Source organism: Homo sapiens, chromosome 11, assembly GCF_000001405.40.
Source record: "Homo sapiens chromosome 11, GRCh38.p14 Primary Assembly".
In the NCBI taxonomy this organism is placed as follows: Eukaryota; Metazoa; Chordata; class Mammalia; order Primates; family Hominidae; genus Homo; species Homo sapiens.
In genome coordinates, this window is record NC_000011.10 from 3,554,163 (window position 1) to 3,582,003 (window position 27,841).

General features: G+C 47.9%; 1 long non-coding RNA gene and 2 pseudogenes across 1 annotated transcript in view, besides 2 other annotated features; 1 reads left to right on the top strand and 2 right to left on the bottom strand.

The window, feature by feature from the left end:
- The window catches only part of LOC101927708 (uncharacterized), a 64,008-nt gene extending 46,183 nt beyond the window's left edge, over nt 1-17,825 (bottom strand). Inside the window, exon 1 of the long non-coding RNA NR_126335.1 lies at nt 17,773-17,825. This is a non-coding gene — a long non-coding RNA (uncharacterized LOC101927708). The remainder of the gene's footprint in view (nt 1-17,772) is intronic.
- Nucleotides 458-27,370, bottom strand: LOC107987159 (serine/arginine-rich splicing factor SR45-like; annotated as a pseudogene).
- Nucleotides 571-720: an enhancer, noted in NCBI's record as "active region_4309". NCBI's record gives its function as "activates an Ori minimal core promoter by ATAC-STARR-seq in GM12878 lymphoblastoid cells {active_cell/tissue: GM12878}" and the evidence as "EXISTENCE:reporter gene assay evidence [ECO:0000049][PMID:35858748]".
- RPS24P14 (ribosomal protein S24 pseudogene 14) lies at nt 5,350-5,862 on the top strand (annotated as a pseudogene).
- Nucleotides 26,964-27,233: a silencer, noted in NCBI's record as "silent region_3080". NCBI's record gives its function as "represses an Ori minimal core promoter by ATAC-STARR-seq in GM12878 lymphoblastoid cells {active_cell/tissue: GM12878}" and the evidence as "EXISTENCE:reporter gene assay evidence [ECO:0000049][PMID:35858748]".
- Nucleotides 27,371-27,841: the final 471 nt, after the last annotated feature.

Below are 27,841 nucleotides of genomic sequence, written 5' to 3' on the forward strand. Positions count from 1 at the left end.
TTCAAGAAACAGAACATTACAGCCCCTTCCAGGATATTCCTGGGGTCTATTCCATTTCTACTAACCCCTGACTACAAACAGCCTCCACTTATTTCACCTGACATTGTACTTTATGAAAGCAGCAGTTCTCAGATGGGGCTATTTTGCCCCCTGGGGACATTAGGCAATATCTGGAGACACTGGGGGTTGTCTGTACTTGGGGGGAGTTGTGTTACTGCATCCAGTGAGTCCAGGGATCCAGGGATCCTAAAATGCACAGGGAACCCCCACACATACAACAGAGAAATTGCTGAGCCGAAATGTCAGCAGCGTCACAGCTGACACCCTGACATACACAGAATCACACAGTATCTGCTCTTTCGTGCTCAGGATCTCTGTCATTCTAATCATTTCATAGGAAACAGAAGTGTCATTTGGAGGTAGGTAGAGTCCAAAACAAAGAAGATCCAGAGTTTTGTTTTTAATCAGCCTGGTGCCTTTAGAGCTAGGATTTAGTTTCCATTCTTTCTGTCTCATTTTCAAGTGATTTTTCTTCAACTGGCATCTGCTGGGCTCAAGACCCGGAGATCCCCACAAAGCTGAGATTCACATGGGAATTTTGTACACACCCACACAGGTATACACTGCCGTTTACATGCAGACATCCACCCACAGATACCCACATCCGGAGACCAAGACAGAAAGCAAACTCCACCATAAAAGCACGGTTCCCCGAACAGGAGAAACGCACCATTCACTCAAGGGAGGTACCTATTTGTTTAATTCAGCCTCTGATAGGCTGTTGCCAAGCCCAGCTTTGAAAGTCTTCCCCTCTAGGAAAGAGAGATGGATTTTTTCTTTACTCAAGAATATAGATCTAAAAAAAACAAACACTTCTGCATCTCAAAGCAGGCTCTACTTCCTGAGCTACACATATTGATCAGCATTTTATTGTCAGTTTTCTTTTATTTGAACTGGAGAAAAATATAACCTAATTGTGTTCTTACTGACAGTTTGGAATCAGTCACACTAAATCCAATTCTCTGGGTTCTCATGATTAAGGTGTTTAATTTGGGGGACAACAAAGCAAAAGCATTGGTCGTGTTTTAATATAATTAGTACAGGATATATCTAAGGGGTTCAAGTATCACTGTAGCAAGAAGCTCATTCTGCAGTAAAAGGGGGATTCTGCCACTATGATTGAGTGAGGGTGATTCATGGCTGCATCATTTCATCAATGTCTCTTCAAGAGTCCATGGAATGTGGAATGGGAAAGACTGAAATAGTCCAAGTCTTGGCTAAGCTTCTATTAAGGGGTGTTAGGAGCTGATAAAATAACCTGATCTTTATAGACATCCCACACTGTTGTTCTGTAAGCTACAGATTCTCAGATTTTTCTATTTTATAAACCAGTAAAAATATTTTATTAATTGGAGAACCAACATAAGGTTGCTACTTTTTTTTTCTTTTTGGTAAGAAGGAACTTTTTTAAACTACCAGTTTCACACACACACACACACACACACACACACACACACACACACACACACACACAGAAATTCAACCATGATTGGTCAGAATAGGTGAGGTTTTGCTGCAATAACAAACAACTCCTAAATCTTGGTAACTTCAAACATCAGTAGTTGTTTTTCTCACTCATGCTACATCTGCAGGGAGGTGTGGGTTGCTCTGTTTTCCATCAAACTTGCCCTAAGACTAAGGCTAATGGGGGCCGCATTACCTCGAGTATCACCAAGCAAGGAACAGCAGGAGAAGAATGCTAGAGATCCTTGTACTAAGAATTAAACGCTCCAGGCTAGAAGTCTCACACTGCACCTCTGCCCCCAGCCTTTTGGCCAGTACTAGACACATCCCCTCCCCCACCACAGGGCAATGCATGAAGACAGGAGAACTGGATACATTACAAATTTCTACCCTATGGCATTTCATAAAAGAGAAAAAAATGCAAATACAAAAATGTTTTAATAGAATAGAATATATACATTTTTAGAATAAAGAACAATCCTCCAAAAAGGACAGCTGGTGGTCTTTCACCAATGGGCACATTTCTGTGACATTTTCTCTGTTTTTCCATTTTATCCTTGACCTATGAACATTTTATACAGATGGTCCAAAGAACACCATTTGGGGACCACTGCTCTAATCAGGTGATGAAAACGGCCCCAAGAACAGAGCACAGTCTCTTTAGCAAAGACCCAGCAGGGCCAGGGTGACCATACTCTCACCATCAATGTGCAGACATCCACCTGCAGCATCCTCACATCCCAACATCAAACAGTGGCTCTTTATAGCTTGATTCTAATGCCCTTTGATCTTCATAATCATTGTAAAGCTCTCTGGCCCCAAGATCTAACATCGCCACTCTAGCTACATCCTGCAACTGTTCACCTCTCCTGCCTCCTCATCCCTCTAAACTTCTCTTCACAACCTCCTGTTTCCTTCTTGCTTTACCTTCCTGCTCAGCCTGGACCTTACAGTCACCTTCTTCTTGTAATGTGCTCCTAAACTCGTTCTTCCCTGCCTCCAACCACACCCACCTGGAAAATCTCCATACCCCATTGATGACTTGCCTCGCAATTGCCCAAGGGCTGCTGAATGATACTGGAAAGAATCACATCATGGATCTGGTAGTTCCACTAAATAATCTCACCATCCAACTCTAGGGTAGACTTCACTTCTGTTCAGCAATATTTTTAAGCATCACAAATAAATTCCAAACCATATTTGCTATAACAATTAACTTTAAACCTCTTCCATATCCCAAAGCCCCCCAAACCCATCCCTAGGGGTTTCAGAGCCCAGAGTTGAGTTCTCTCAACTCACTTCTATTTCACCCCTAGATCACTGTACCTTGACCCTCTTCCTCTGCCTTTCCCATCTTATAAGGAGAAGCATCCTTCTCCTTTCCAAAGCTGCCTTCTCCACTTGTGCCTCATTTGAGACCTCCCTTTATCACCCCTTCCCTTGGAACTCCCATGACTCACCACCTTCACTTGTCATTTCACTCATAAATATTTTGCACCATGTATGTGCCAGGCGTTTAACATATAATCATGCTTAAGTCTCCACATGCTAACAAGAAAAACCTTGATTATCCCTGCTATGCCCTCAAGTCATTACCCTCCCCGCTCCTTTCCTGTGTTCCCAAACTTTGCTGATCTTCATCAATCCCTCTGATGCAGAGGGCTCCGAAGTTTGCATCCTATTAGGTTGGTGCAAAAGTAATTGCGGATTTTGCCATTGAAAGTAATGGCAAAAACAGCAATTATTTTTGTACCGGCCTAGTATCTTTTCTCCTTCTACCAAACTTTGTCCCTGAGCCATCTCATCACCTATAACTACCTCCTCCATGCAGTTGATTCCCAGGTCTGTATTATTCTACTGAAAGTCCATTCCCCAACTTTCTCGGCTACAATAACAGAAGCCCAATTAGAATTCATGCTACCAGTTTCCCACCACGACCACCACCACCACCGTCGCCCTGCCATTGTTAGCAAAACCATCTCTTGAGTGGAGCTCAAAGATTTGTACTCTCCCACTCCCCAGAAAGATAACTTCAGACTCAGCCTAGAAGTAAAGATCCTCCAGATACGGCCTCAACTACCCTCCAACCCATGTCCCCAGTGCATCCCTTTGATGCCCCCTTCAGTGGAGTTAAAATGGAGTGAGTGTTTTTCTTTTTACATACTCTTGGTGTTCTTCCACAAATACAATTTTCACCTCTTGAATATTTTCAAGGATTCTCCATGCTACACACAGTGAAATCCAAACTCCCCATCAGGACCCCAGTCTTCCCAAACCCTCTTTGCATTTTTCTGCCTCCATGCTTTCCCTTGGGTCATCCTCTTCTCTAATACAACCTTGTGTATTATTCTAGGTTATCCAGAGAAAGAGCAGAGAGATAGAGGTAGAGCTATACACATAGACAGAGACAGATTGATTAGTTGTAAGGGATGGCTCACATGGTTATGGAGGCTAAGGAGTCCTGGAGTCTGCAGCCAGCAAGCTGGGGACCCAGGACAGCCAATGATATAGTTCCAACTCAAGTCCACATCTAAAGTCAGGACAAGATTGATGTCCCAGCTCAAATATAATCAGGTAAAAAGAGCAAATTCTCTGTGTCTCTACCTTTTTGTTTTGTTCAGGCCTTCAGTGGATTGGATGAGGCTCACCCACATTGGGGAGGACAATCTGCTTTATTGAGTCTACCAATTAAATGTTATCCTCATCCAGAATACCTCAGAGACACACCCAGAATAATGTGTAGCCAAATATCTGGGCACCCCACAACCCAGTCAAATTCATACATAACACTAACCATCATGTCTTGCTTCTACTCTCTCGCCATTACTGCATGGCCAAATCCTTCCCTTATTTCAAGGCTTAGTTCAAATGTTACCTCTTAACTAAGCCTTCCCTGCTAACCCCAAATATTAATAGAATTGGTTTCTCCCTTCTCTGATGTCTCAAAATACGTTGCGTGTTTCTCTTTTACTGTATTTATTACAAACTCCCTTATAAATCAAGACAGTGATTCCCAGACAAATTATCAAAAGAGTATAAAAGAAGTCTTCTTTGAGTGTGAAATATCTCATGGAATATAGCACATGGCCTCTTCATGAAGAAACTACTGGGAGAGAAGAAGACAAGCTGGAAGAGGCCAGGGAAAGGGGGTTAGTACAAAGCACAATGAGGCTGGGCTCATACAGTGGCTCACACCTGTAATCCCAGCATTTTGAGAGGCCAAGGCCAGCGGATCACGAGGTCAGGAGATCGAGACCATCCTTGATAACACGGTGAAACCCCGTCTCTACTAAAAATACAAAAAAGTTAGCCAGGCATGGAGGCGGGCACCTGTAGTCCCTGCTACTCGGGAGGCTGAGGCAGAAGAATAATGTGAACCCTGGAGGCAGAGCTTGCAGTGAGCCGAGATCGCACCATTGCACTCAAGCCTGGGTGACGGAGCAAGACTCCATCTCCAAAAAAAAAAAGAAAGCACAATGAAATGCCTGTGGATGGGTGCCTATAATTTCTAAGGGAAATAGAGTATAATCCAAGAATTTTATAGCCAGCTAAATTATTTCCCAATCAAAATAGGCAAAAGACACTATCGCGTGTTCAAGAACTTAAAGAATACAGTATTTCTGAGCTCTTTAAAAAAAAAAGTCTTCATAATAAAATTTAGTCAGCCAAGAAATTAAAAAATAAGCAACTTGTGAATTGAATGACCATGACAAAAGGCTAGTGATGAGAGGTGAATCCATTTAAAAATAGGACTATGATTGCAGAACAGAAAGAAAAGGTGGTCAACCTTAACAACATAAAACAACCTAGAAATAACTAGTTTCCAGAGGTAAAGGGAGTGACTGTAGGAAGCAGAAGTGCTAATGCCCTTTATTAAATCAATTAATCAGGTCTAAAATTGAAACGTGGTTTTAAATATATAACTTCTTGTTTATTTTCCTCCCTAACTACCTGAGGATCAACCACCATGATGAATGACACAGTAACTATCTGGACCAGGAAGTTCATGACCAATCGACCACTCCAGAGGAAACACATGGTCACCAATGTCCTTCACCCCGGAAAGGCAACAAAATGTACAAGACCACAATGGATGTCATCTTCATATTAATAGTTGGACTCAGAACCCATTCTGGTGGTGGTTAAACAATGGGCTTTGGCATGCTATCTGGTTCTTTGAATTATGCAAAGAACAATGAAATCAAACATAGACTTGCAAGACACGGCTAGCATGAGAAGAAGATGACCTCAAGAAAACAGCAAAGGAATGCAAGGGCAGAATGAAGTCAAGAGACTGCAAAGGCCAATGTCAGTGCTGGCAAAAAGCAAAAGGAGTAAAGATTTTGCAATGACTTTATTTTCAGTGACTGTACAATTTTTTCATGAGATGATCAGTCAACTGTAAAGACTTCTACATATATAGAAAACATCTTAATATTTTTCATCATCTTTGATTTCTTAGATGTTCTAGAAACTGATTTTTAGTGAGGAAAAACTACGCTTATCTGAGTTGACCAGTTCCTTCAGTTTCACTTCTATTTCTTTTTCTTCTGATGAATTTACATAGCATTCAATTTGCTACTTCTTGTTTTTAAAATCTCATTTTGTGTGATCAGAAGTGTCTGTTCATGTCTCTAGCCATCTTTGTGCATAGCAAGGAATGCTGTTCACTTAATATTAGGAGGTTTATTTCTTGGGGTTGTGAGATTTAGGGTGATTTCTCTCCCTTTTTGTACTTTTCTGTATTCATTAATTTTTTTGAGACAATGTCACCAATGTTCTTCATATTAATATTTGGACTCAGAACCCATTTTGGAGGTGCTTAAACAATTGTCACCAACATTGGAGTGCAGTGGCATGATCTCAGCTCACCAAACCTCTGCCTCCCAGGCTTAAGTGATTCTCCTGCCTCAGCCTCCCCTGTAGCTGGGATTACAGGCACGTACCACTACCCCCTGGCTAATTTTTATATTTTTAGTAGAGATGGGGTTTCACCTTGTTGGCCAGGCTGGTCTTGAACTCCTGACTTCAAATGATCCACCCACCTTGGGCTCCCAAAGTGCTAGGATTACAGGAGTGAGCCACCGTGCCCAGCCTTTTCTGTATTAAATTTTTTAAAACACAGCATTTAAAATAATCAAGTCATTCTTTTTGAATCTACTTTGTATTATAGGTATCCAAATACTCACCCATTCTCTCTTACATGATGACAAACTTGTTGAAATGTCATTTCATTTTGTGGCTCCAGCCCCAGGGATTCTGACTTTGATTCTAAAGGGTCTGCATGCAGAGCGAGCAAGCTGCCTGGATGATTCTCTTACAGGTGTTTTAAGGGCAGGAGTTTGAGACACCCTGATGCAAAAGAACAAACCCTCAAGGAAGTTGGCTGTACATTTATTTTCCTTCCTAGCACAGGAAACGACAGAAAGATTATCCGATCAGTACCACTCATAGCACCTGATTATATGTGTATGAGAAATACAGAAATGGTTTGATCAAGGCTGAAGACCTAAAAACAGGCTCTTCTCTTGGACACCAAGTCCCCATCTCATGCATTGTTGAGTTAGTAGAAACTGAGGATGATGCTTCTTCCTCCAGCATTGGTATCCCATGGTTTTTGTTCAGTAGATGAAGTACCTCCATCCCCCAACATCCCCAAGCTCTATCCCAGTTTCCTCACATACACTTTTTTTTTTTTTGAGACAGAGTCACGCTCTGTCACCCAGGCTGGAGTGCAGTGCAGTGGTGCAACCTCAGCTCACTGCAACCTCCACCTCCCAGGTTCAAGCGATTCTCCTGCCTCAGCCTCCTGAGTAGCTGGGATTACAGGCATGCGCCATCATGCCTGGCTAATTTTTGTATTTTTAGTACAGACAGGGTTTCACCACGTTGGCCAGGCTGGTCTCAAACTCCTGGCCTCAAGTGATCTGACCACCTCAGCCTCCCAAGTGCTAAGATGTGAGCCACCGTGCCCAGCCTCCTCACTCACACTTTTACAGAAGATCTGATCATACCCACTCTGCAGAAGTCAGAATGGCCCCCACGTGGTGTTAAACGGGAGTGAAAACTTGAGTTCAATCAACTGAGGGTGACACAGAAACATTTCCCCCAAAATGCTTTTGGCAGCTCTGCTGATCCATAACCTGGCTCCATTTCAGGGCAAGACCTCCACTTTAGCTGCACTGGCTTCCACTAGAGTAAATCACATTAACTCATGGCGAACACAACTGAAGGGCAAAAAGATTCTTTTTAAAATGATTTTGTCTCTCACTTACCAACACACGCTGGCCTCCCTACAGCCTGACTCCATTCAGCACCTGTTCCACTGAGCACCCACTGAAAGCTCAGCTCATGAGCTGAGATGACCCCGACATCAAGGAGTTTACAATCCAGGGGAAGAACAGACCTGAATACAAGTGGTGACAATACAAGACGGAGTCAAAGAGCCCAACTTGAAGTTTCAGGAGAATAGCACCAAAGACTAGTTCCCAATCCAGCTCCCAGAGCCAGAGCCAGAGCCAGAGCCAGAGCCAGGCTGGCTGCATGAGATCAGCTGGGAGCTTTTGCAAACATAGGTCCTAGCTGAGACCCTAATCATCAGACTGGGAGTCACTGGGAGTGAGCTCCAGGAATTGGTGTATTTAATAAGCATCCACACACACACATGATTCTGATGTTCCTATGGGTTGTAGAAACATGGAACTATGGAAAACACTAAAAAAAGGCACTAAAAGAAACCTATAAATATTCACTGCCATCCCAGTCATCATGAGGATGCTCCACGTCCACTATTTACAATACTTAGAATAACCTGCAAGGGAAGCATTCATTCGTGACGATAGGTTTTATCGGGAACAGAACCAGCCCTGGGAATGCTTGAACCTGCACTGAAGGTCACCCCCTCCTCCCCACAGGAGGGGGCTAACATTAAGGAGCAGGGGCCAGATGGGAAATGGAGTGTCCTTTTATTATGAGACCACAGTGAGACTCTTTTTTTTTTTTCCAGAGTCTCGTTCTTGCCACCCAGGCTGGCTTGCAGTGGTACAATCTCAGCTCACTGCAACTTCCGCCTCCCGGGTTCAAGCAATTCTCATGCCTCAGCCTCCCGAGTAGCTGCGACTATAGGCGCCTGCCACCACGCCTGGCTAATTTTTGTATTTTTAATAGAGACAGGGTTTCACCATGTTGGTCAGGATGGTCTTGATCTCTTGACCTCATGATCCACCTACCTTGGCTTCCCAAAGTACTGGGATTACAGGTGTGAGCCACCACGCCTAGCCTGAGACTTTCAAGTACAGCCACAATGGACCACAGAGCTTAGACATCAGGGCTAACATGGAATCTCTGTCATTAAATCTTGAGATCTTATTATCTTTGCTCAAAGAAAAAAAAATCAGAATTGACATTTTGAGGACAAGACATCTGAATGTAAACTTGACCTTAGAGGATATTAAGGAATTACTGGTAATTTGATTAGGTATGACAATGATCATATAAAAAATGCCCTCATGTTTTTAGAGGGAAAGTAAATTATGTAGGGGTGAATATCAGGATGCAATTACATAACTACTGTAAACTATTTTTTAAATACTTCAGAAAAACAAATGGAGTCAATATTGCAAACGTTAATCGTTTTTAAACCTATGTGATGGGTATATGATAGCTTATTAAACTAGTCTCTCTACTTTTATGTATATTGAAAATTTTTCATAATAATAATAATAATAAAAACCTTGGCCAGGCACAGCAGCTCATGCCTGTAATTCTGGCACTTTGGGAGGCCGAGGTGGATGGAGGACTGCTTGAGCCCAGGAGTTTGAGACCAGCCTAGGCAACCTGGTGAAACCTCATCTCTACAAAAAATAGACAAATTAGTCAGGCATGGTGGTGTGCACCTGCAGTCCCAGCTACTCAGGAGGCTGAGGTGGGAGGATCACCTGAGCCCAGAAGGTCAAGGCTGCAGTGAGCCAAGGTCATGCCACTGCACTCCAGCCTGGGTGACAGAACCTGTCTCAAACAAACAAACAAGCAAACAAAAACCCTCTTGATCCCATTTCCCAAAAAAATGATTTTTTTGAGATCTTACCATCTCCTGGCTTGGTGCAGAGTACAGGAAATCAAGACAAAGTATAGCACACAAGGAATAAGGAGGGGGGGAAGTGTGGGGGAGGCTGACACTGTGGACTCTCCCAGCTCAGTCGACCCATGCACCTTGCTTCATGGAAGAAAGGAATGGAAGATGAATCATGCCTTCAGCACACAGTGACCTTCCTCACTAGTAAATGTGCCTCCAAAAGTGTCCAAGAACTCAGCGCCAGAGCCAGACTGGCAGCATGAGAATCACCTGCAAGCTTTTGCAAACATAGGCCCCTACTGGGTTCAAATGTATTCATCTCTTGGAGAGGAGGAGAGAGGCAGAACAAGGAAAAGGATGGGAAGAAACCAGCCTTGTGCACAGGAGGATGCTGGGATTCCTCCTGCACATTTAGCGCAATGCAGCCTATTTTACAAGGTCACAGAAGCTCAGAGAGGTAAACCTGCCCAGGTTCTCGTAGATTGTAACTGGCAAAACCTGCCCAAATCTCTGTCTCTAGAGATATTTCCACTTGCTTCAACTCTGGAGCTGTCTTAGTTGTAAAGATGACAGATTCCACTCATCACTCACTTTTGTTTGCAGATATTGCCTAAGGTCCCTTGTGAATATTTAGGTCAGGGCTGTTTTTTTGAGTTTTTTGTTTGTTTGTTTCTTGGTTTTTTTACAAAGCAATCTTGTGGAAAGAACCCCAAGTGGCTCCCCATTTAAGACCCTGTAAACAGGGAGACCAGAGTCTGGAGTCCTGGTCTGGTTTCCACACCTTCATTAGATTTCCCTGTGTGTAAAATCCAACAACGATCTTTGACAAATTGCCTCCCCTAGGGGAGAGATGGAGGAAGTGTTAACTTTGCTGCTTTTTTTTTTTTTTTTTTTTTTTTCTGTTTTCAGACAGAGCCTCCCTCTGTCACCCAGGCTGGAGTGCAGTGGTGCCATCTCAGCTCACTGCAACCTCTGCCTCCTGAGCTCAAATGATTCTTGTGCCTCAGCCTCCTGAGTAGCTGGGACTACAAGCAGATGCCACCACACCTGGCTAATTTTTGTATTATTAGTAGAGATGGAGTTTCACATATTGGCCAGGCTGGCATCGAACTCCTGGTCTCAAGTGATCCGCCCCCTTCAGCCTCTCAAAGTGCTAGGACTACAGGCATGAGCCACCATGCCCAGCCACTTTGCCATTTTTTGTTAATAGACAGCTTCGAGGTCCAGTATGAGTTCACAGATTAGGAAACATCACAGGCAAAGAAGAACACTTTGCATTCAAATAGCAGAATGTTTTCATTTTCAAAGAGCTCTCACCTGCCATCTAATCTTGTCTTCCTAGCAGTCCTGGGAGAGAAGCAGATGTGGTTTCCAATCCCACTTTCCAGAAGAGGAGACTGAGGCAGAGGCTTTGCAGATACACAGAGGACATGTGAGGACAGGCGAAGGTCATGATCATTGTCAGCCCCCTTCCCCAACTTGACATTCCCAGATCTGGTGGACTTCCAGCCAGAGGAGACAGAAGGATTGGATCACTCAACTCTGCCATGGGTGCCAGGACCAAATTTTTCCCTGGCTGACTCGGTCACATCCTCTCTGGGATCTCCAACTACTACCGATCCCACAAGTCTTAGCTAAAACAGCAATTTAATAAGGAACTTTTTTTCTGAGGCTCCAGGATTGGGCCAGGCTCTCTCCATGGCTCTCTGCCCTTTCCCTACTGCAGAACTTAGCACCCGTATGTCACTATTGGTTCAAACATGTGCCTTTCGTATGCTCTCCACGTTATCTGCAGCATCTGCCAAGAATAATAATGAATGGTAAAACCTAATCTATTGAGTGTCGATGATGCACTTTTAACGTGACATCTTATTTAATCCTCACTATATCTGCAAGAGTAGAAGCTATTAATAGCCAATTTTCAGATAAGAAAATCAAAGCACAGTTTCTATAACTTACCCAGGTAGCTAGCTAGGAGGCAGCTCAGTTGGAGCCCAGGGAATCATATTCTAGAGACCGTGTTCTCAATTACTAGAGCAGGTACCTCCCCAGAATCTAGCAGGTGGTTAACGAGTCTTTGTGGAATAAATGAACAGAAGGGCAAGCAGATGGATGGATACATAGGTGGGTGGGTGGATAGATGGGTGGATGGAAAGATGGGTGGGCAGGCAGGTGGATGAATGAATGGATGGTTGAGTCGGTGAAGGGATGGCTGAGTGGGTGGAGAAATGGATGAGTGGGTGAGGGGGTGGCGGGATAAATGGATGGACGGGTGGGTGGATAGATGGGTAGATGAGTGAATGGGTGGATAGATGCATGGGTGAGTGGATGGATAGATGGGTTGGTGGGTGGGTAGGTGGATGACAGTTGGGTGCATAAGAGAGTGGGTTGGATAGATAGATGGGTGGGTGGGTGGATAGATGGGTAGGTGGGTGGATGGATGTATGCATGTCTGGATGGATGGATGGATGGATGGATGGAAGGAGGGGTGGACGGATGGATGGACAGATGAACAGATGGACTTGAGCATTTATTCGGGGTCCTCCACAGAATTGAGTGATTTCCAAAGGTGTCTCATCACCTGCAGGTGGGTGGGCAAAAGGGCTTGCCTCTGTAATACTCATGATTACGGGTAGTGCTCAGCCTTAGTTACCACTCTCAGACCACTTTATTGACTAGGAAAGTCAAAACTGGCATTGACAACTAATGCAAATTACAGCTATAACTAACAGAAGATGTTGAGTGATGACAGCTGGGCAACCAATAATCAATAACTTGGCTGTGTCATGTTGCTGTCATGCTGGACAGGTAGAGCCATGGGTTCCCTAATCCCTCCATCACATTGAGGATGCTTATCAAGACTTCCCCAACCATGGGGACAGGGATCTTATCAAATACTTGCAGTTCACCCCAAAAGGCTCACCCTCTTCGTTCCACCTGCACATGACCTTCAGCTCAAAGACATTTCCAGTCCTGCAGGTCAGCCCTTCTTCCAGCCTTTGAATTAACCCTGATGACTGCCTGCCCATTAGGTGTCTTCAACTTTCATCACACAGCCTTTTCCAAGGCTTTCCTTCAGTCCAGCCCTCACTAAACGCTGTAACTGTTGTTGACAAAATCCAGAACAAGCTGGCTGGGGGATACAGGTGGGAAGCAGGCTGTAGTAATGGGGAAAAATTCTAAGCAATCTCGAACACAGAAAAGAAACTGAACAGGTAAGAGAGAGGCAGTCAAGAGAAGAAGTGTGAATTTTGCATAACTGAAGCTGAAGAAGAGCAGGGGGCATGGCAGACCACAAGATAAATATGATATAGACTCCTTTTTAAAAAAGTATAAACACCCACCATTTCCTACTGAGAACTGTGCTTCAAATATTGCTAAGGTCTTTACTAAAGGCAAGTCAGAAAAACGGGGTATTTTATGCAATACAGTAAGAAGGCCCATAGGCAAGCATGTTCCTGACATCACCTTCTAGGATAACCCCTGGGATTCTGGTTACACCTGTCCTAAAGTTGTCTCTCACTCCTGCTGTTGGAGAGCTACCAAGAGAGAAGAACCATAGTGAATTCGTTAAGAGTGTGCACCCAGCGACCAGCCAGATGGCTTCAAACCATCACTACCTACTACTGAGCAAGTTACATAATGTTCCTGAGCCTCAACTTTCTCATCTGTAAAATGGGTATGCCGTCATTCATTCATCAAACTCTAGGTGAGCATATACTAAACACCAGAGACACAAATGAGAATCAGGAACAGGCATGGCCCTGGTCCTCATGGTGACCAGTCTTGAAGGGGAAGGATGACATGCACAGAAATAGGAATCCATAGCTGAGCTAGTGTCTACCACAGAGAGGCACCTGGTGTCATGAAAGCAGATAACAGGGGGTTGCTGTGACTGAGTCAGTGTGGCCAGGCGTCCCTGAGGATGTAGTGACTCCACTGTCAGATGAGACTGTGACCAGGTGAAGAGGCAGGGAGATGGAAAATCTTTCCAGGCAGAAAGAGCAGGATGTGCAAAGGCCTTGAGGCAGGAAAAGAGCAAAGGAAGTGTAAGAGCCTGAAAGAGGCTAGAGAGAACAAGTGAACATGTGGATAATCACAGCACCCACCTCATACAGGACTTGCAAGAAATTGAGACCCTGTCTGTAACAGATTCAGCAATGACTAAATAGAAACTATCTCCTAAAAGCACAGGATGAGGCTCCTTGGTGGTATTTCCCATGTAAGGCTGCCATGGACTCAGAGGCCAAGTTCAACCTGCCTGTAGACAACCTCCAAGCCAGCTGGACACACATACACACTCAGGCTCAGGATACCCAGGACAGAGTCCTGGATGCTTGAAGTCATGATAAGTATCCAGAATGACACAGAATCCCAGCCAGGCTTGGTGGCTCACACCTGTAATCCCAGCACTTTGGGAGGCCGAGGTGGATCACCTGAGGTCAGGAGTTCGAGACCAGCCTGGCCAACATGGTGAAACTCCCTCTCTACTAAAAATATAAAAAAATTAGCCGGGTATGGTTGTGGGTGCCTGTAGTCCCAGCTACTCAGGAGGCTGACGCAGGAGAATCGCTTGAACCCGGGAGGCAGAGACTGCAGTGAACTGAGATTGCACCATTGCACTCCAGCCTGGGCAACAAAAGTGAAACTCTGTCTCAAAAAAGAAAGAAAAAAAAAAAGAATGACACAGAATTTGCTAAAGGGGGAGAAAGGGCTTTCTTCCAAAGCTGGGCCTGATCTCTACAGAGAGTCTTCCAGATGAAAATTAAGCAGATCTTTGCAAGCACCTCAGAGGAGAACCCCTAACCCTGATGCATCAGACACACAGGCGGATCCAAGACAACTGGCTGCGTGCATGTGAACAAGCCCATGGTGGAAATGCAGTGCTTTATTTGTTTGGGGTGGTTTAATCACCAGGAGGGAGAAGCTTCTAAAGCAGCATTCAGAGGTGGCTGTTGCCTGGGTTTTCTGGAAGGGGGAGGCAGTGAGGATGAGGGCTTCCATTTCATCTGCAGGCCCCTTGCAGAAGGAGCTGAGGAAAGCTTTGCAGCCCTCTGCACACTGTTTGTCATCTTGTCTGGCTGGGCAGCTGAGCTCCAGATGGGGGCAGATGGGATAGCTCTTGCTACCATATTTGGAGAGAGATGGCAGGGAAGTCAGCCCCCGTGAAGAAGACAGGAGCAGGCAGGTGCTGGACAGTGCTGCCCAGGCCCCTCGGGCTGAAGTGTCAAACCCCACAGCCTCTAGGTACCACTAAAGCAGCCCAAGAGGATCTTCTCTGTCCATCTCCATCCTGGCACCTACAGACACTTGGAGAGAGTCCTTCACATGGGAACTCACAAATGCACACTGATAACCCCCACACGGAACTCTCACACGTAGCAAGTGAAAAGACAGGATGCCAGTTTAACTTGAATTTCAGATAAACAACAAATCATTTTTTAGGGTAAGCAGGTCCCAAATATTGCATGGGATATATTTGCACCAAAAAAAAAAAAAGGGTTAATGAGAAACTCAGGTTTAGTTGGACCTCCTGTATTTTACCTGGCAAGCCTAACCCTGCATAAACACAACCTCGAGCTTGAAACTCAGAGAAGCCACGGCCGTGCTCACACACATGCACAAACCCATATGCCTTACAGAGTCAAGGGCTGTGATGAGGGGGTCCCCACCCTTGCACACTTCCCTGTCCTCTGTCTGGGCTCAGAGTGAACAGGAGGTCACGTGGCATCCACGTCTAAGCTGGGCTTGGAGGTGTCCTAATGAAGCAGGATGCTGACCTGCACTTCCCCAGCTCAGCGGGGGCTGCAGCCAGGCCTAGCTTCCAGTCTCGGGCCTAGAACACACAGCACAGCCCCAGACCTTGGCAAGAAGGCTTCATCTCAAGGACCACTGGTCCAGGACCTATTAGAAGCCCCACTTCTTCCCTCTGTTTCTGCTGCCATTGCCCCAGTCTCTGACCCTGCCACTCAATCACTCTATGAACACAGCAGGTACTAGGGGTGGCTCTGGGCTTGGCACTAAAGACATCGCCCCTGGTAAAGCCACACTCTAGCAATGACAGTCAACCACGTATCAGCAACAGCCCTGCTCCACACGTGCTGACTGCGCACAAGGCCGGCGCTGTGAACGTGCTCTCAACAGTGATCTCACTGAACCCTCATGGCAGCTCTAGGATGCAGACAGTAGCATCACATTATCCCCATTTTACTTATGAGAAAACTGAGGGCTGAAGAAGGCAAATACGGGCCTCGGGATTTGCAGTAACATTGCCAGGAATGTTTGAGAAAGCAAACTTCTCCAGAGTGAAGCAGTCTGCCAAAGCTTAGAGGCCAGATTCCCTATTAGCAGGGACTGGGGGGACTGGGGGCAGACAAGCGGGTAGGGGCTGGACCCCCTCAGGACACCAGGGTGCAGACTGGTGTGAGTAAAAGAAAGAGAGGTGGTCGTGCCATCATCTGCAGAAGATGATGTCTACAGAGGACAGTACCATGTGAGCCCTTGGGGAGCCGGATGACTGGATGGATTTTGCACAGGATGCAAATTAAGCACAGATCCCCCTCTGACCTAGACAGCCCACCTCCAGGAACATCTCACAGAAATGCAGGCACAGAGCACCAAGTGATGTGTGCGAGGAAATTCATCAGAACACCGTCTGTGATTGGGAAAAGGCGGAAACCATCCACAGACGTATCGGTGCAGGGCTGGTTAAACGAAGCGTGGTGCATCCACACGTCAGAATAACTGCTGGGAGAAGAAGGTGGTTCCCAGGTTCCAACGTGAGACAATGTCAAAGACACGCTGCCTGAAAAGCAGGCTTTCCAAAGAATAAATAGAGCATTATTCCATTTTTATTTTTTTAAAAAGTTTACAATAAACACTTATGTGCAAATACATGTGCTTGCGTGCACAGAGGGAAAAGGTATGGACAGGAACAGAAAACCAAACTCTGCGTGTTCTCCCTCATAAGTGGGAGTTGAACAATGAGAACACGTGGACACAGGGAGGGGAATATCACACACCAGGGCCCATCGGGGGTGGGGGACAAGGGGAGGGAGAGCATTAGGACAAATACCTAATGCATGCGGGGCTTAAAACCTAGATGATGGGTTGATAGGTGCACTAAACCACCATGGCACATGTACACCTGTGTAACAAACCTGCACATTCAGCACATGTATCTCAGAATGTAGAATAAAAAATAAAAAGAAATCAAAGAAAAAGGTGTGGAGACGTATACCCCAACCCTTCCCAGTGTTACCTCTGAGAAGCAAGGTCAAGAAAATCAAATCAAGAGGAAGTTTTATGTTTTGTTTTCTATATAAATTTTTTATTTATTTTTTTATTTTTTTTGGAAACATAGTCTCGCTCTATTGCACAGGCTGGAGTCCAGGGACACATTCTCGGCTCACTGCAACCTCCTCCTCACTGCAACCTCCTCCTCACTGCAACCACCTCTTCACTGCAACCTCCTCCTCACTGCAACCTGCTCCTTCTGGGTTCAAGTTATTCTCTTGCCTCATCCTCCCAAATAACTAGGATTACAGGCACGCACCACCAAGCCTGGCTAACTTTCATATTTTTTGTAGAGACAAGGTTTCACTATTTTGGCCACCTGGTCTCGAACTCCTGGCCTGCCCGCCTTGGCCTCCAAAAGTGCTGGGATTACAGGTGTGAGCCACCACGCCTGGCCTGCATTGCTTGAATTCTCAGACCACATGGACCCTCTCATCTGGCCCAATTGCAAGAGTCCAAGGCAGGAAAGGCAGAAGGCAGGGGCTTACCCCTCCATCAGGACAACATAGAACAGAGTCAAAAAAGAAAAACATGAATGGATCAGTCAAGAGGGCCGTGCAAGTGCCCTCCCAGGCACCTACACCTTGCAACTTAAGCCGACAGGCTTTCAAGTCACAGAGTCTTCCTTCCCAGAGACTAGCAAGGACACAAGCCCTAGCCAGGCCCCTCCAGGAGGATGGTCTGAGGGACAAGGTGGGGAGCACAGTCAGGGGTGGCAGGAGGAAAGGGGGACACAAAGCCAAGGAAACCAGGGCACCCCATGCTTCCTGAAGGCCACCAGGACAGGGCGCCACACAGAGCCCCTGCGTACCTGTTTCTACAACAGCCTGAACACAAGGAAAAGGAAAACAAGGAAAATACACAAAGCCCAGCCTCACCTGGAGCAGGTTAAATAAAGGTGTGTGACTTTGTCTTCATGTCCTTTGGAACTGGAAATCCAAGCTTCTTCTCCTGTGCCTTTAAGGCCCTGGCTGCTGCCCCACAGCTCCCTCTCTTCCCTCCTCCTCCTGTCCTGACTCTTTTTTTTTTTTTTTTTTCTTGAGATGGAATCTTGCCCTGTTGCCCAGGCTGGAGTACAGTGGCACAATCTCAGCTCACTGCAACCTCCACCTTCCGGGTTCAAGCAATTCTCATGGCTCAGCTTCCCAAGTAGCTGGGATTATAGGTGTCACCACGTCTGGCTAATTATTGTATTTTTAGTAGAGACAGGTTTTCACCATGTTGGCCAGTCTGGTCTCAAACTCCTGGCCTCAGGTGATCCGCCCACCTCGGCCTCCCAAAGTGCTGGGATTACAGGTGTGAGCCACCATGCCCGGCCCTCTTGTACTAACTCTGCCACCTCTTTGCAGTCTCCCTCGAGCAGCTTTTCCTGGGCCCGCAATTCCCCCTTCCAGAGCTGCACTCTCAAACCACCCCCCAATGCCCCCTGGCCCTGGCTCCTGCCCTGGGGCTCTGATCCTCAGCTGGTGAGGTCTAGAGGGTCAGAGGGAGCCAGACTCCCTAGAGCAGCTGAGGCAGGAGCCCTGTGCTTAGGCAGGAGCTAAGCTAAGCTAAGGCAGGAGCCCTGTGCTGGGCTGTGGGTAACCTGTCCCCTTCCAGCTGGGGCTGAATAGAAGGGGGAAAGGCTGCCCCCAGAATACAGGGCTCTCAGAGGCCCTGGGGATCTGTGCTGGCAGTCAGGAGGACTGCCACCTCAGCGCACTTGCCTGCAAGGAGGGCTGTGCAGGACGCTGCATGTTGCTTAGAGAACAAAAAAAGGAAATTAAATGCACCATCTGGTTATTAGGATGAGCTTTTGAGGCAAACACTGAAATATGCATGCCTAGACATTATAAAACTTGGGGGAAATGTTAATTTCAATAACGCCAGTTCTTGTACTCGCAAAAACTATTCTTTTATCTCTCTTCCTAGTCATTTGTGGGCTCCATCCCTCAGAGTGTCAGCACCAAGACAGCTGGCCTCACTGGGTTTTGTACGCTGTGCAAGGTGAGATCCCAAGCCCTTGCCTGGAGACCCTTCTTAGGAAAATGTTAGAACAGGGCAACAAGTTATCATTTCCTCCCTCCTTTCTCTTCCCCATACAAAAATCAGAAAGCACACTAGCCCAGATCTGTGTACATTTCAAGGGTGGCTGGACTCATGGCCGCCTGGGACGTCAGGGTGGTACAAAGTCCTCTTAACCTAAGACTGTCGGGGTACAAGGATCAGCATTTTTTTTTCCTTTTTCTTGAGGGCCAGATGGTAAATAGCTCAGCTTTGCAGGCCATAGGTCTCTGTCCCAACTATTCAACTCTCCATTGTAGCAGGAAAGCAGCCACAAGACAATATGCACTGAAATGGGTGTGGCTGTGTTCCAATAAAACTTTATTTGTATGAAAAGGCAAGGGGCTGGTTCTGGCCTGTGGGCTACAGCCTGCCTCCTCTGCTACAGCGTGATCTCCAAGGACCCATCCATCTCATAGACCAGCAGCTGCCACACAGGAGCTGCTCAGATACTTGAAGGAGGAATGGAGAAGGCAAGCAGCCCCCAGTGTGCAGACGTGAGGGTCTCCCAGCAGCACCATCCTTTGCCATCTCATGCCGAGGGACAAAGCCAGAGCAGGGCTCTCCACCAAGGCTCGGTTCTCCTCCAACGAAATGTGATAACAGGACAGAAAGCACTGTGGAAGGATAGGGGCTTTGGAGTCCCACAAACCACAGTTTGCAAGACCAGGAGCAACCTGCACTTCCTTGCACACACCCTGGGTGGGTGCTGGAGCATCTAGACTTAGAGTGAATCTTTTCTCCCTCCTCCCCCAGCTGGCCTCCATTACACTTCCAGCAACATTGTGGTGTATGTACACGATGGAATACTATTCAGCCTTCAAAAAGAAGGAAATGCTGCCATTTGAGACAACATGGATGAGCCTGGAGGATATTATCTTAAGTGAAATAAGCCAAGCACAGAACGACAAATACCACATGATCTCACTTATATGTGGAATCTAAAAAAGTTAAACTCGGCCAGGCATGGTGGCTCATGCCTGTAATCCCAGCATTTTGGGAGGCTGAGGCTGGCAGATTGCTTGAGCCCAGGAGTTCGAGACCAGCCTGCATAACATAGAAAGACCCCAACTCTACAAAAAAATACAAAAATTACTGGAGCGTGGTGGTGCATGCCTGTACTCCCAGATACTCAGGAGGCCGAGTTGGGAGGATTGACTGAGCTTGGGAGGTCAAGGCTGCGGTAAGCCAAGATCACAACCCTGCACTACAGCCTGGGCAATAGAATGAGATTGTCTCAAGAAAAAAAAAGAAAGAAAAAGAAAAGAAAAAAGTTGAATTCACAGAAGCAGAGTAGAATGATGGTTGCCAGGGTGGGGAAGTAGGCAGATGCCAAAGGACACAGAATGTCATTTTTAGAGAAGAAGAATAAGTTCAGGATATCCATGGGACAACATGGTACCTATAGTTAAAAACAACATATCATACACTTGGAAATCACTAAGAGAGTAGATTTTTAAGTGTGCTCACCACAAAAAAAAATAAGTCTGGGAGGTGGTATGTTATTTAGCTTGATTTAGCCATTTCGTAATGTATACATACTTCAATCACATCATGTTGTATACCCTCTTGTACATAATTTTTGTCAATTCAATAAATTCAACATCTCCAAAAAACAAGACATTCTCTTTACAAAAATAATTATTAAAAATAAAATTCAGAATTCTATTTTCTTCATTTATTTATTTTTGAAACAGAGTCTCGCTCTGTCACCCAGGCCGGCTGAAGTGCAGTGGTGCGATCTCGGCTGACTGCAACCTCTGTCTCCCAGGTTCAAATGATTCTCCTGCCTCAGCCTCCCAAGTAGCTGGGATTACAGGTGTGTGCAATCACACCTGGCTAATTTCTGTATTTTTGGTAGACAGTTTCACCATGTTGGCCAGGCTGGTCTCGAACTCCTGACCTTAGGTGATCCGCCAGCCTCAGCCTCCCAAAGTGCTGGGATTACAGGTGTGAGCCACTACGCCTGGACAGAATATAAAAGATTCTTTAATTCAACTAAAACATTAAAACATAGATTATTTCTATAAGTGGTAATTGTTCTAACATGTTTTGGTCAAAATAGTCTCCTTACCCATCCACAATTAAATGGTTAATTGACATTTGATTGGATTTTGATAAAGTTTTCAAATCATGATTGACTTTTCCAACATATAGTAAAATGTGTGTGAAAATATTCCATAAAAATTCATATTTAAAAATGGTCAGGCATGGTGGCTTTTGCCTATAATCCCGCACTTTGGAGGCCAAGGTGGGTCGATCACTTGAGGTCAGGAGTTTGAGACCAGCCTGGCCAAACCTCATCTCTACTAAAAGTACAAAAGTTAGTCAGGTATGGTGGCATGCACCTGCATTCCCAGCTACTTGGGAGGCTGAGGGAGGAGAATCCCTTGAACCTGGGAGGTGGGTTCCCCAGGCTTAGAGCAAAACCCCCATCTTGTCTGTCTCCACTCTCATCCCAGGCAATCGCAGTCATTTCCACAGCCTCAACCACTGTCAACCTGGGATGCCTCCCAAGCCCGAGTCTCCAGCCCAAACCTGCCTTCCTAGCCCCAGACTCATCTGTCCTGGCACACATTGCCCCCTGGGTCCCAAGCAACCTCAGCCAATGAGTCCAACATCAACTTCCTGTCCTGCCTGACACTGCCAGCCCTGAGATCAGACTTGACCATTCACCTCCAGTACCTGATAGGTCCATCAGTGCTCTGTAACATATTCCACAAACATTCCCCAAACCAGGCACCGGACTCCACACATCAACTCCGTCATGTGAGTCACCAGCATCCCTGGCAGGGACCCCTGTCCCAGCCTCCAACTCATCTCCTTCCTGTCCCTTGAGTTCTGTGTCACATTCCAGAGGCCACAAGAAGAAAAATGACCACCTTAATGAAATTAAAAGAATTGAGAAGACATTTCCCTATGGTCCAAAGTCTTTCCAACTGAGAAACACATATCAAGATCCAGCCTGCCAGCCCTGCGGTTAAATGTTCCTGAAATATTTAAAGCCCAGGGCAACACAGCCCCCACTCCACAAGTATTCCCAGCACAGTAAGACTTCCTTCTCTGCAGGGGTTTGAAATGTCCAGTGTGTACCCTGCCCCTCTCTGTCGTAGCTAACAGGAATGTACTCCGTGTCTTCTTCCTGCTCAAAGGACCGTCCACCAACCTGTGTAGGCAGCACTTTCAGCCAGTGGGGGATGGGAGAACTTCCCACCATTTCCCACTTATGCACTGCATTCCTCAGGAGCCTGCCTCACAAATTACAAGAGCGCCACGGCAGACACACCACGTTCCAGCGGGTGGTCATGTCTTCATGTCAGCTTGAAAGATCATCGCCAGGGAAATATCTATATCTCAGCAGGGAGAGCTTCAGCCTGTGTAGTCCAGCCGTGCTCAAATGGAAATCCAGAAACCCGGATGCTGGTCAAAACACCCTGTCTTGAAGAGCTGGCTCTGCAGGTCACCAGCGTGGGAGTGAACTGGGTGGGCCACCTGCCCTGCCTGCCCACATCCCTGCCTCCTGGAATCCTGGACCCTGAGAACCAGGGGGATGTGGTGGGGAACAGGCAAGTCTTGTGCAGAAAGACAAGATGCCACCCAAATCCACTCTGCAGTCTAGGTGGGTGATATTCTGGTCTGCACTGCACCAGCGCATGAGGGGATGGAGGATGGAGTCTAGACGAGCCAAATGTAAAAAGATATTGCCCAAGTATTTTGTGCTTTCTCTGTGTTACAATGCTATGCCCAGTCCAGCGTGGTGGCTCACACCTGTGATCTCAGCACCTTGGGAGGCTGAGGCAGGCAGATCACCTTAGGTCAGGAGTTTGAGACCAGCCTGGCCAATGTGGTGAAACCCCATCTCTACTAAAAATACAAAAATTAGCCTGGTGTGGTGGTTGGCACCTGTAATCCCAGCTACTCGGGAGGCTCAGGCAGGAGAATCACTTGAGCCCAGGAGGTGGAGATTGCAGTGAGTGGAGATCATGCCACTGCACTCCAGCCTGGGCAACAGAGTAAGACTCCATCTTAAAAAAAAATAAAATGAATAAATTCTATGCCCAGCATTTTCCATGTACTGTCTTATTATCTCAGTAAATCCCATATAACCTTCCTATGAAAGTGTGTCTCATTTATCTCCATTTTATAGATGAGAAAACTGAGGCCCCTGGAGTAGTATTAATTTTCCAAGACCGCATTGCTCACCAAGGGTACAGCAGGGACCCAAGCTCGACACTCTCACCCTTAAACATTTCCACAAGTGTAGACCAATGGCTCTCAACTGGGGTGGTTTTGCTCACATACCACTCCCTTGCTCCATGGCATTTGAAACCGTCTGGAGACATCTGGGGTAGCCATAGCTGGGAGGGGAGAATGGCACCTAGAGGATGGAGACCAGAGGTGCTGCTAACCATCCTACAATACACAGGACGCCCCCCCACCACCACCACGAATGGTCTCACCCCAAGTGTTGTGACTGTGCCAAAGCTGAGAAACCCAGGTTTCTCCTCAGCAAGAAGGAAAACCCCTGCAACGCAGATGCACCTCTACAGGAGCCCCAGGCTCACAATAACCTTCCTCATCTGGTTTCAACCCTGGATGCTTTCACCTGGTGCGTCCATCAGGGATTTCAGGAACTCCAGTGAGTTTTCACCCTTGAATGCTCGGTTCTGCCTGACAACCCCGAAATTTCTGCCGAGGTGCCTGGTCTTGGGGAAGGCTCAGCAAATGGTTGAGGTTGATAACCAAATACCTAGGAGAGACTTTTCTCTCCCTCCAGGAAGAGCTGTTGGTCAGACACCCTGGGATCATTCACAAGTGGTCAATAAAGGCTTGGGGAGGGCCAGGTTTTCTAGGCCTTCTCAATGGGGTGGGTGTTTATGGATACACAAGAAGCCTGTGAAACTTCTGATATTCGCAGGAAGTCAATGCCCCTCACCCTCCACCCCCCCCCCCCCCGCCTCCCCACCATAAACACATGCCCTGCAGCAGGACTTGGCACTCAGGGGCTCCTGGGGTCCCGATTTACCTGCTAAAACATCCTCTAGCCACCACCGAATAAAGCAACCCCTTGCCACCCAACCACAAGAGCACAGCCTGGGAGCCACTCCAAGGAACACCAAGTCACATTAAAACCTCAGCCATCCAGAGCACCAGGCCTGGTGATGAGAAAGAACATTTTATCCTTAAAAGCATCTGAATGCCCATGCTGTTTCTTGCAGAGAAAAGTCCAAAATAATCTGCTATTAAAGAGCGAGGATGGTTTTGACATTTTTACCAAGCTAATGGTCTACGCAGACAAAATCTCTAAAAGGGCACTCTGTTCTTCTTGATCCACTCAGACATGGCCTGTGAGTGAAGAAACGGGCTCTCCTCCTCAAAGAAATCGCTGCTGATCCTCACACCAGCCTGACACTGCTTCATGGGTTCTTCAAAGAGAGTATTCCCATAGAAACTAAAAGGGAAGAGGAATGGGTCTGGTGGGCATTGTGGGCAGCAGTGGGCTTTGGGCCAAATTTTAAGTTTGAAAATCAAGATTCCCTCTTTTCAAGGGGCCGCCAGACTGAGCAGATACAGGCACCATGAAAAGAGGGTGCCATGTTCAGATTCAGGAAACAAGGATGGTTTCTGTTCAGTTCCTCCATCATCCTTCAGGTCATGTGATTCCCATTTCCCTCTGTGGACCAAACAATTCAGTGGGGTTTCTGCCTTTTAAATATTTCATTATCAACATATCATCCTTTTAGCCTCCAGAAAGCATTTTAACATGGAGACTCTGGCTTAAGACTCTTGTGGGTCTGTCTCTCTCTCTCTCTCTCTTTTCCTTGAAACGGTCTCACTTTGTCACCTAGGCTGGAGTGCAGTGGCATGATCACAGCTCACTGCAGCCCGACCTTCCAGGCTCTCGCAATCCTACCACCTCAGCCTCCCAAGTACTTGGGACTACAGGCACACACCACCATAACTGGCTGTTTTTTTTTTTTTTTTTTGTAGATATGAGGCTTCACTATGTTGCCCAGCTGGTCTTAAACTCCTGGGCTGAAGCGATCCTCCCCTTTCGGCCTCTCAAAGTGCTGGGATTATTGGCTTAAGCCACCATGCCCAGCCAAGAACTTTGTCTCTTGTGATGCACCCCAGAACAAAACATCACTGCAAAAACACACCAAGGCATGAGTTTCAGTCCTAATTCCCATTTATCCACCATACACTATGTGCCAGGCACAACGCTAAGTGCTTCTATGGATGAGCTTCCCTTAATCTCAGCAGTAACAACCCCAGGCAATGGGGCCTGTTGACAGATCCATTTGCCACCGAAGACAGTAAGGCTCAGAGAGGGTAAGTGGCTTGTGCCATGTCAGCCAGCTAAGGAGGGGCAGAACCAGGATGCAAACCCCAGCTGCCTGGCTCCAGACTCGGGTTCCCAAGGTCCCACTACACTTGGTCACTCCACTGCATTCTGGTATCCTGGTCTTTGGCAGAGTCCACGTAAAAGAAGGAGGTAGAGGGAGTGAGAGGGACTTCATGCAATAAAGTTTCCCGGCGTTACACTGCCATCGTAATTGTGTCCCCGACCAGGACCTCTCCCTTCTCATCCTTTCCGTGATCAGCCCTGGAAAACCTTCCAAAGAACTGTCCTCCTTCTCCCGGGATCTCAGAGAAAATTCGCCTGAGTTCAGTGTCCACGTGACCCAAGCTCTGAATGCGGTAACGTGCACGGAGAGATAAGGATGTCACCATGAGCAAGCCTCCCAGACAGCATCAAGGAGCAACCCCAAGACTGGGCAGGGTGGGCTCTAATGCCGCCCACGGCGAGGAGGGCTGCCCGTGCTGCCTAAATGGGTTCAGAATGAAGGCCGCTCTCTCGCCCATGTGGGGCTCATTAACCACGAATCCAATTATTAAGACAAGCTCAGCTGAGCAAATGGTCAAACAAAAAAACATGTGGAAGGAACAAACAGGTCAACCCCAATATCCATCAAAAACCATCAAGGTGGCGGCCCTCACTGAGGGGTACAGCTCTCCAGTGGGCTCTCATCTGCCCTCCAAACCCATGTGCCTCCTCAGTGGAAGGCCAGCAAAGCCACACAGGAAGAGCTGGGGTAGGAAAGCAGAAAGTGAACCCCAGGAGGCCAGGCTGGCCACGGAGCCCCATCGCACACACACAAGCCCGGTGACTCAGGGGCTCACGTGTGCACGACACCGGGAGCTCACAGGGACAGCGCCCCGGGGGATGCAAGGAACTTTGCCTCTCTGTCCCTCTCTGTAGGGATGGAAAGAGGAGAGCGATTTCTGGGATGGAAGCCATCTGCCTCCTCTCAACTCTCGCTGCCCAACCAGAAAGGGAAGAAAAACAGGAAGATGCGGGACAGGTGAGGAGCTGGGTGAGCGCCGCCAGCCCGCAGTCCAGCAGAGCAGGGCTTGGCCAAGCCTGGCGCCAGGGACTTCCCCCCTACCCCCACCACAGGCCCCTCGCCAGGTGAGAGGCACCGGCAGAGTCCCAGACAGATGCCCCAGACAGGATGCCCGGCGCAACCCCCGCCCCTTCCCCTGCTAGGGGCCCCCAGGACGCGGGGCTCCCCCTCCCCTTTTGGCCAGCCGCAGAGTCCAGCGCGTCTCCCGGCCAGGGACGTCGTGGGAGAATCAGGAAGTCGAAGCCACACAGCCGAGAAGGGGCAGCTGGCGTCTCGGAGGCCGTCACGAGCTGTCACTCCGCGCCCGCCTGAGTTGCCGCTCAATTACCAACTTCAACCCGGGGCCGGCCACGGAGCCTCCCGCCGCCCCTACCCTGCGCCCCCGGGACCCCCGGACCCCAGCGCCCGCGTCACTTACTCCTCTGCCGTCGCCACCTGTCTGGGTGCCGGTCTCCTTCCTGCCCGGCCGCGGCGCGTCCTCCCCGTCCTCGGGCTGTGCGCTTCCCCCCTCCAGCAACAGCCGCAGCCTCTTCTCCTCGGGAGGGACGTCGTCCTCCTCCCTCCTGGGCCGGCCATCCCTGCCTCGGGGCTTGCCAGTGGCTTCGGAGCTGCCGGAAGGGCTGGCCATGGCTCCGGGGGTTCTGCCTGCACCTGGGGAAGAGGAAGGACCCGGCGCGAGCGGCCTCTCGGCGGAGCTGGGGCGTCTGAGCGCGGGCTCGGTGGGTCCGCGCGGCGCGGAGCTGGGCATCGGGGCGGGCGCTGGCTCCTCCGCGGGCCGCTCCTGGCTCTCTGGCGCCCTCTGCTGGCCGCTCGCGCGCACCGCGGACACGCCGGGCCCTGGCCTGCGCTGCGCTCACCTGCCCCGGCCCAAGCGGTCGCTGTCCCCTGCCTGTGGCCATACCCGCTCTGACCAGGCCCTGCCCCTCCTCCCCGCTGCAGCCAGGTTGCACCCCGATGGTCTCCCTCCCCAAGGAGGAGAGAAGAGAAGGGAAGCCCCGAGAGGGTGGACATCGGCCACAGCCACCTTGTCTTTGCTCTTACCCTGTGTCTTCCATGATTTGGAGGTGGTGGGAAAACCGAGGCTGCTCCAAACTCGTGGAGAATTCCGCCTGCAGGATGACACGAATGCACCTTCTCTTTGCTACCAACAGATCTTTTTTGAGCATCACTGTGGACCAGGCGTGGTGATGGGGGAGGGGATATTGTGGTGAACATGACAGGCATTGCCTTCACCCAGTGGGGCTCAGCGCTGGGTGAGAAGGCATTGAGAATGGACATTGTCAATTGGGCAAAAGGAGGCCACGAAGAAGTGTTGGGTGCATGGGAACTGAAAAAGACAGGAGGCTCAGCAGGTCTTGGAGCTGGGAGAGGGACAGCAGCAGCGGCTGTTCCAAAGGAAGTAAAAGTTGAGAGAGGTCTCAAAGAGTTGTTCTCAGCCCAGTGGAGGGTGTTCAGGCAGAGGGAACAGCGTGTGCAAAAGCCCAGGGGCTGGGAA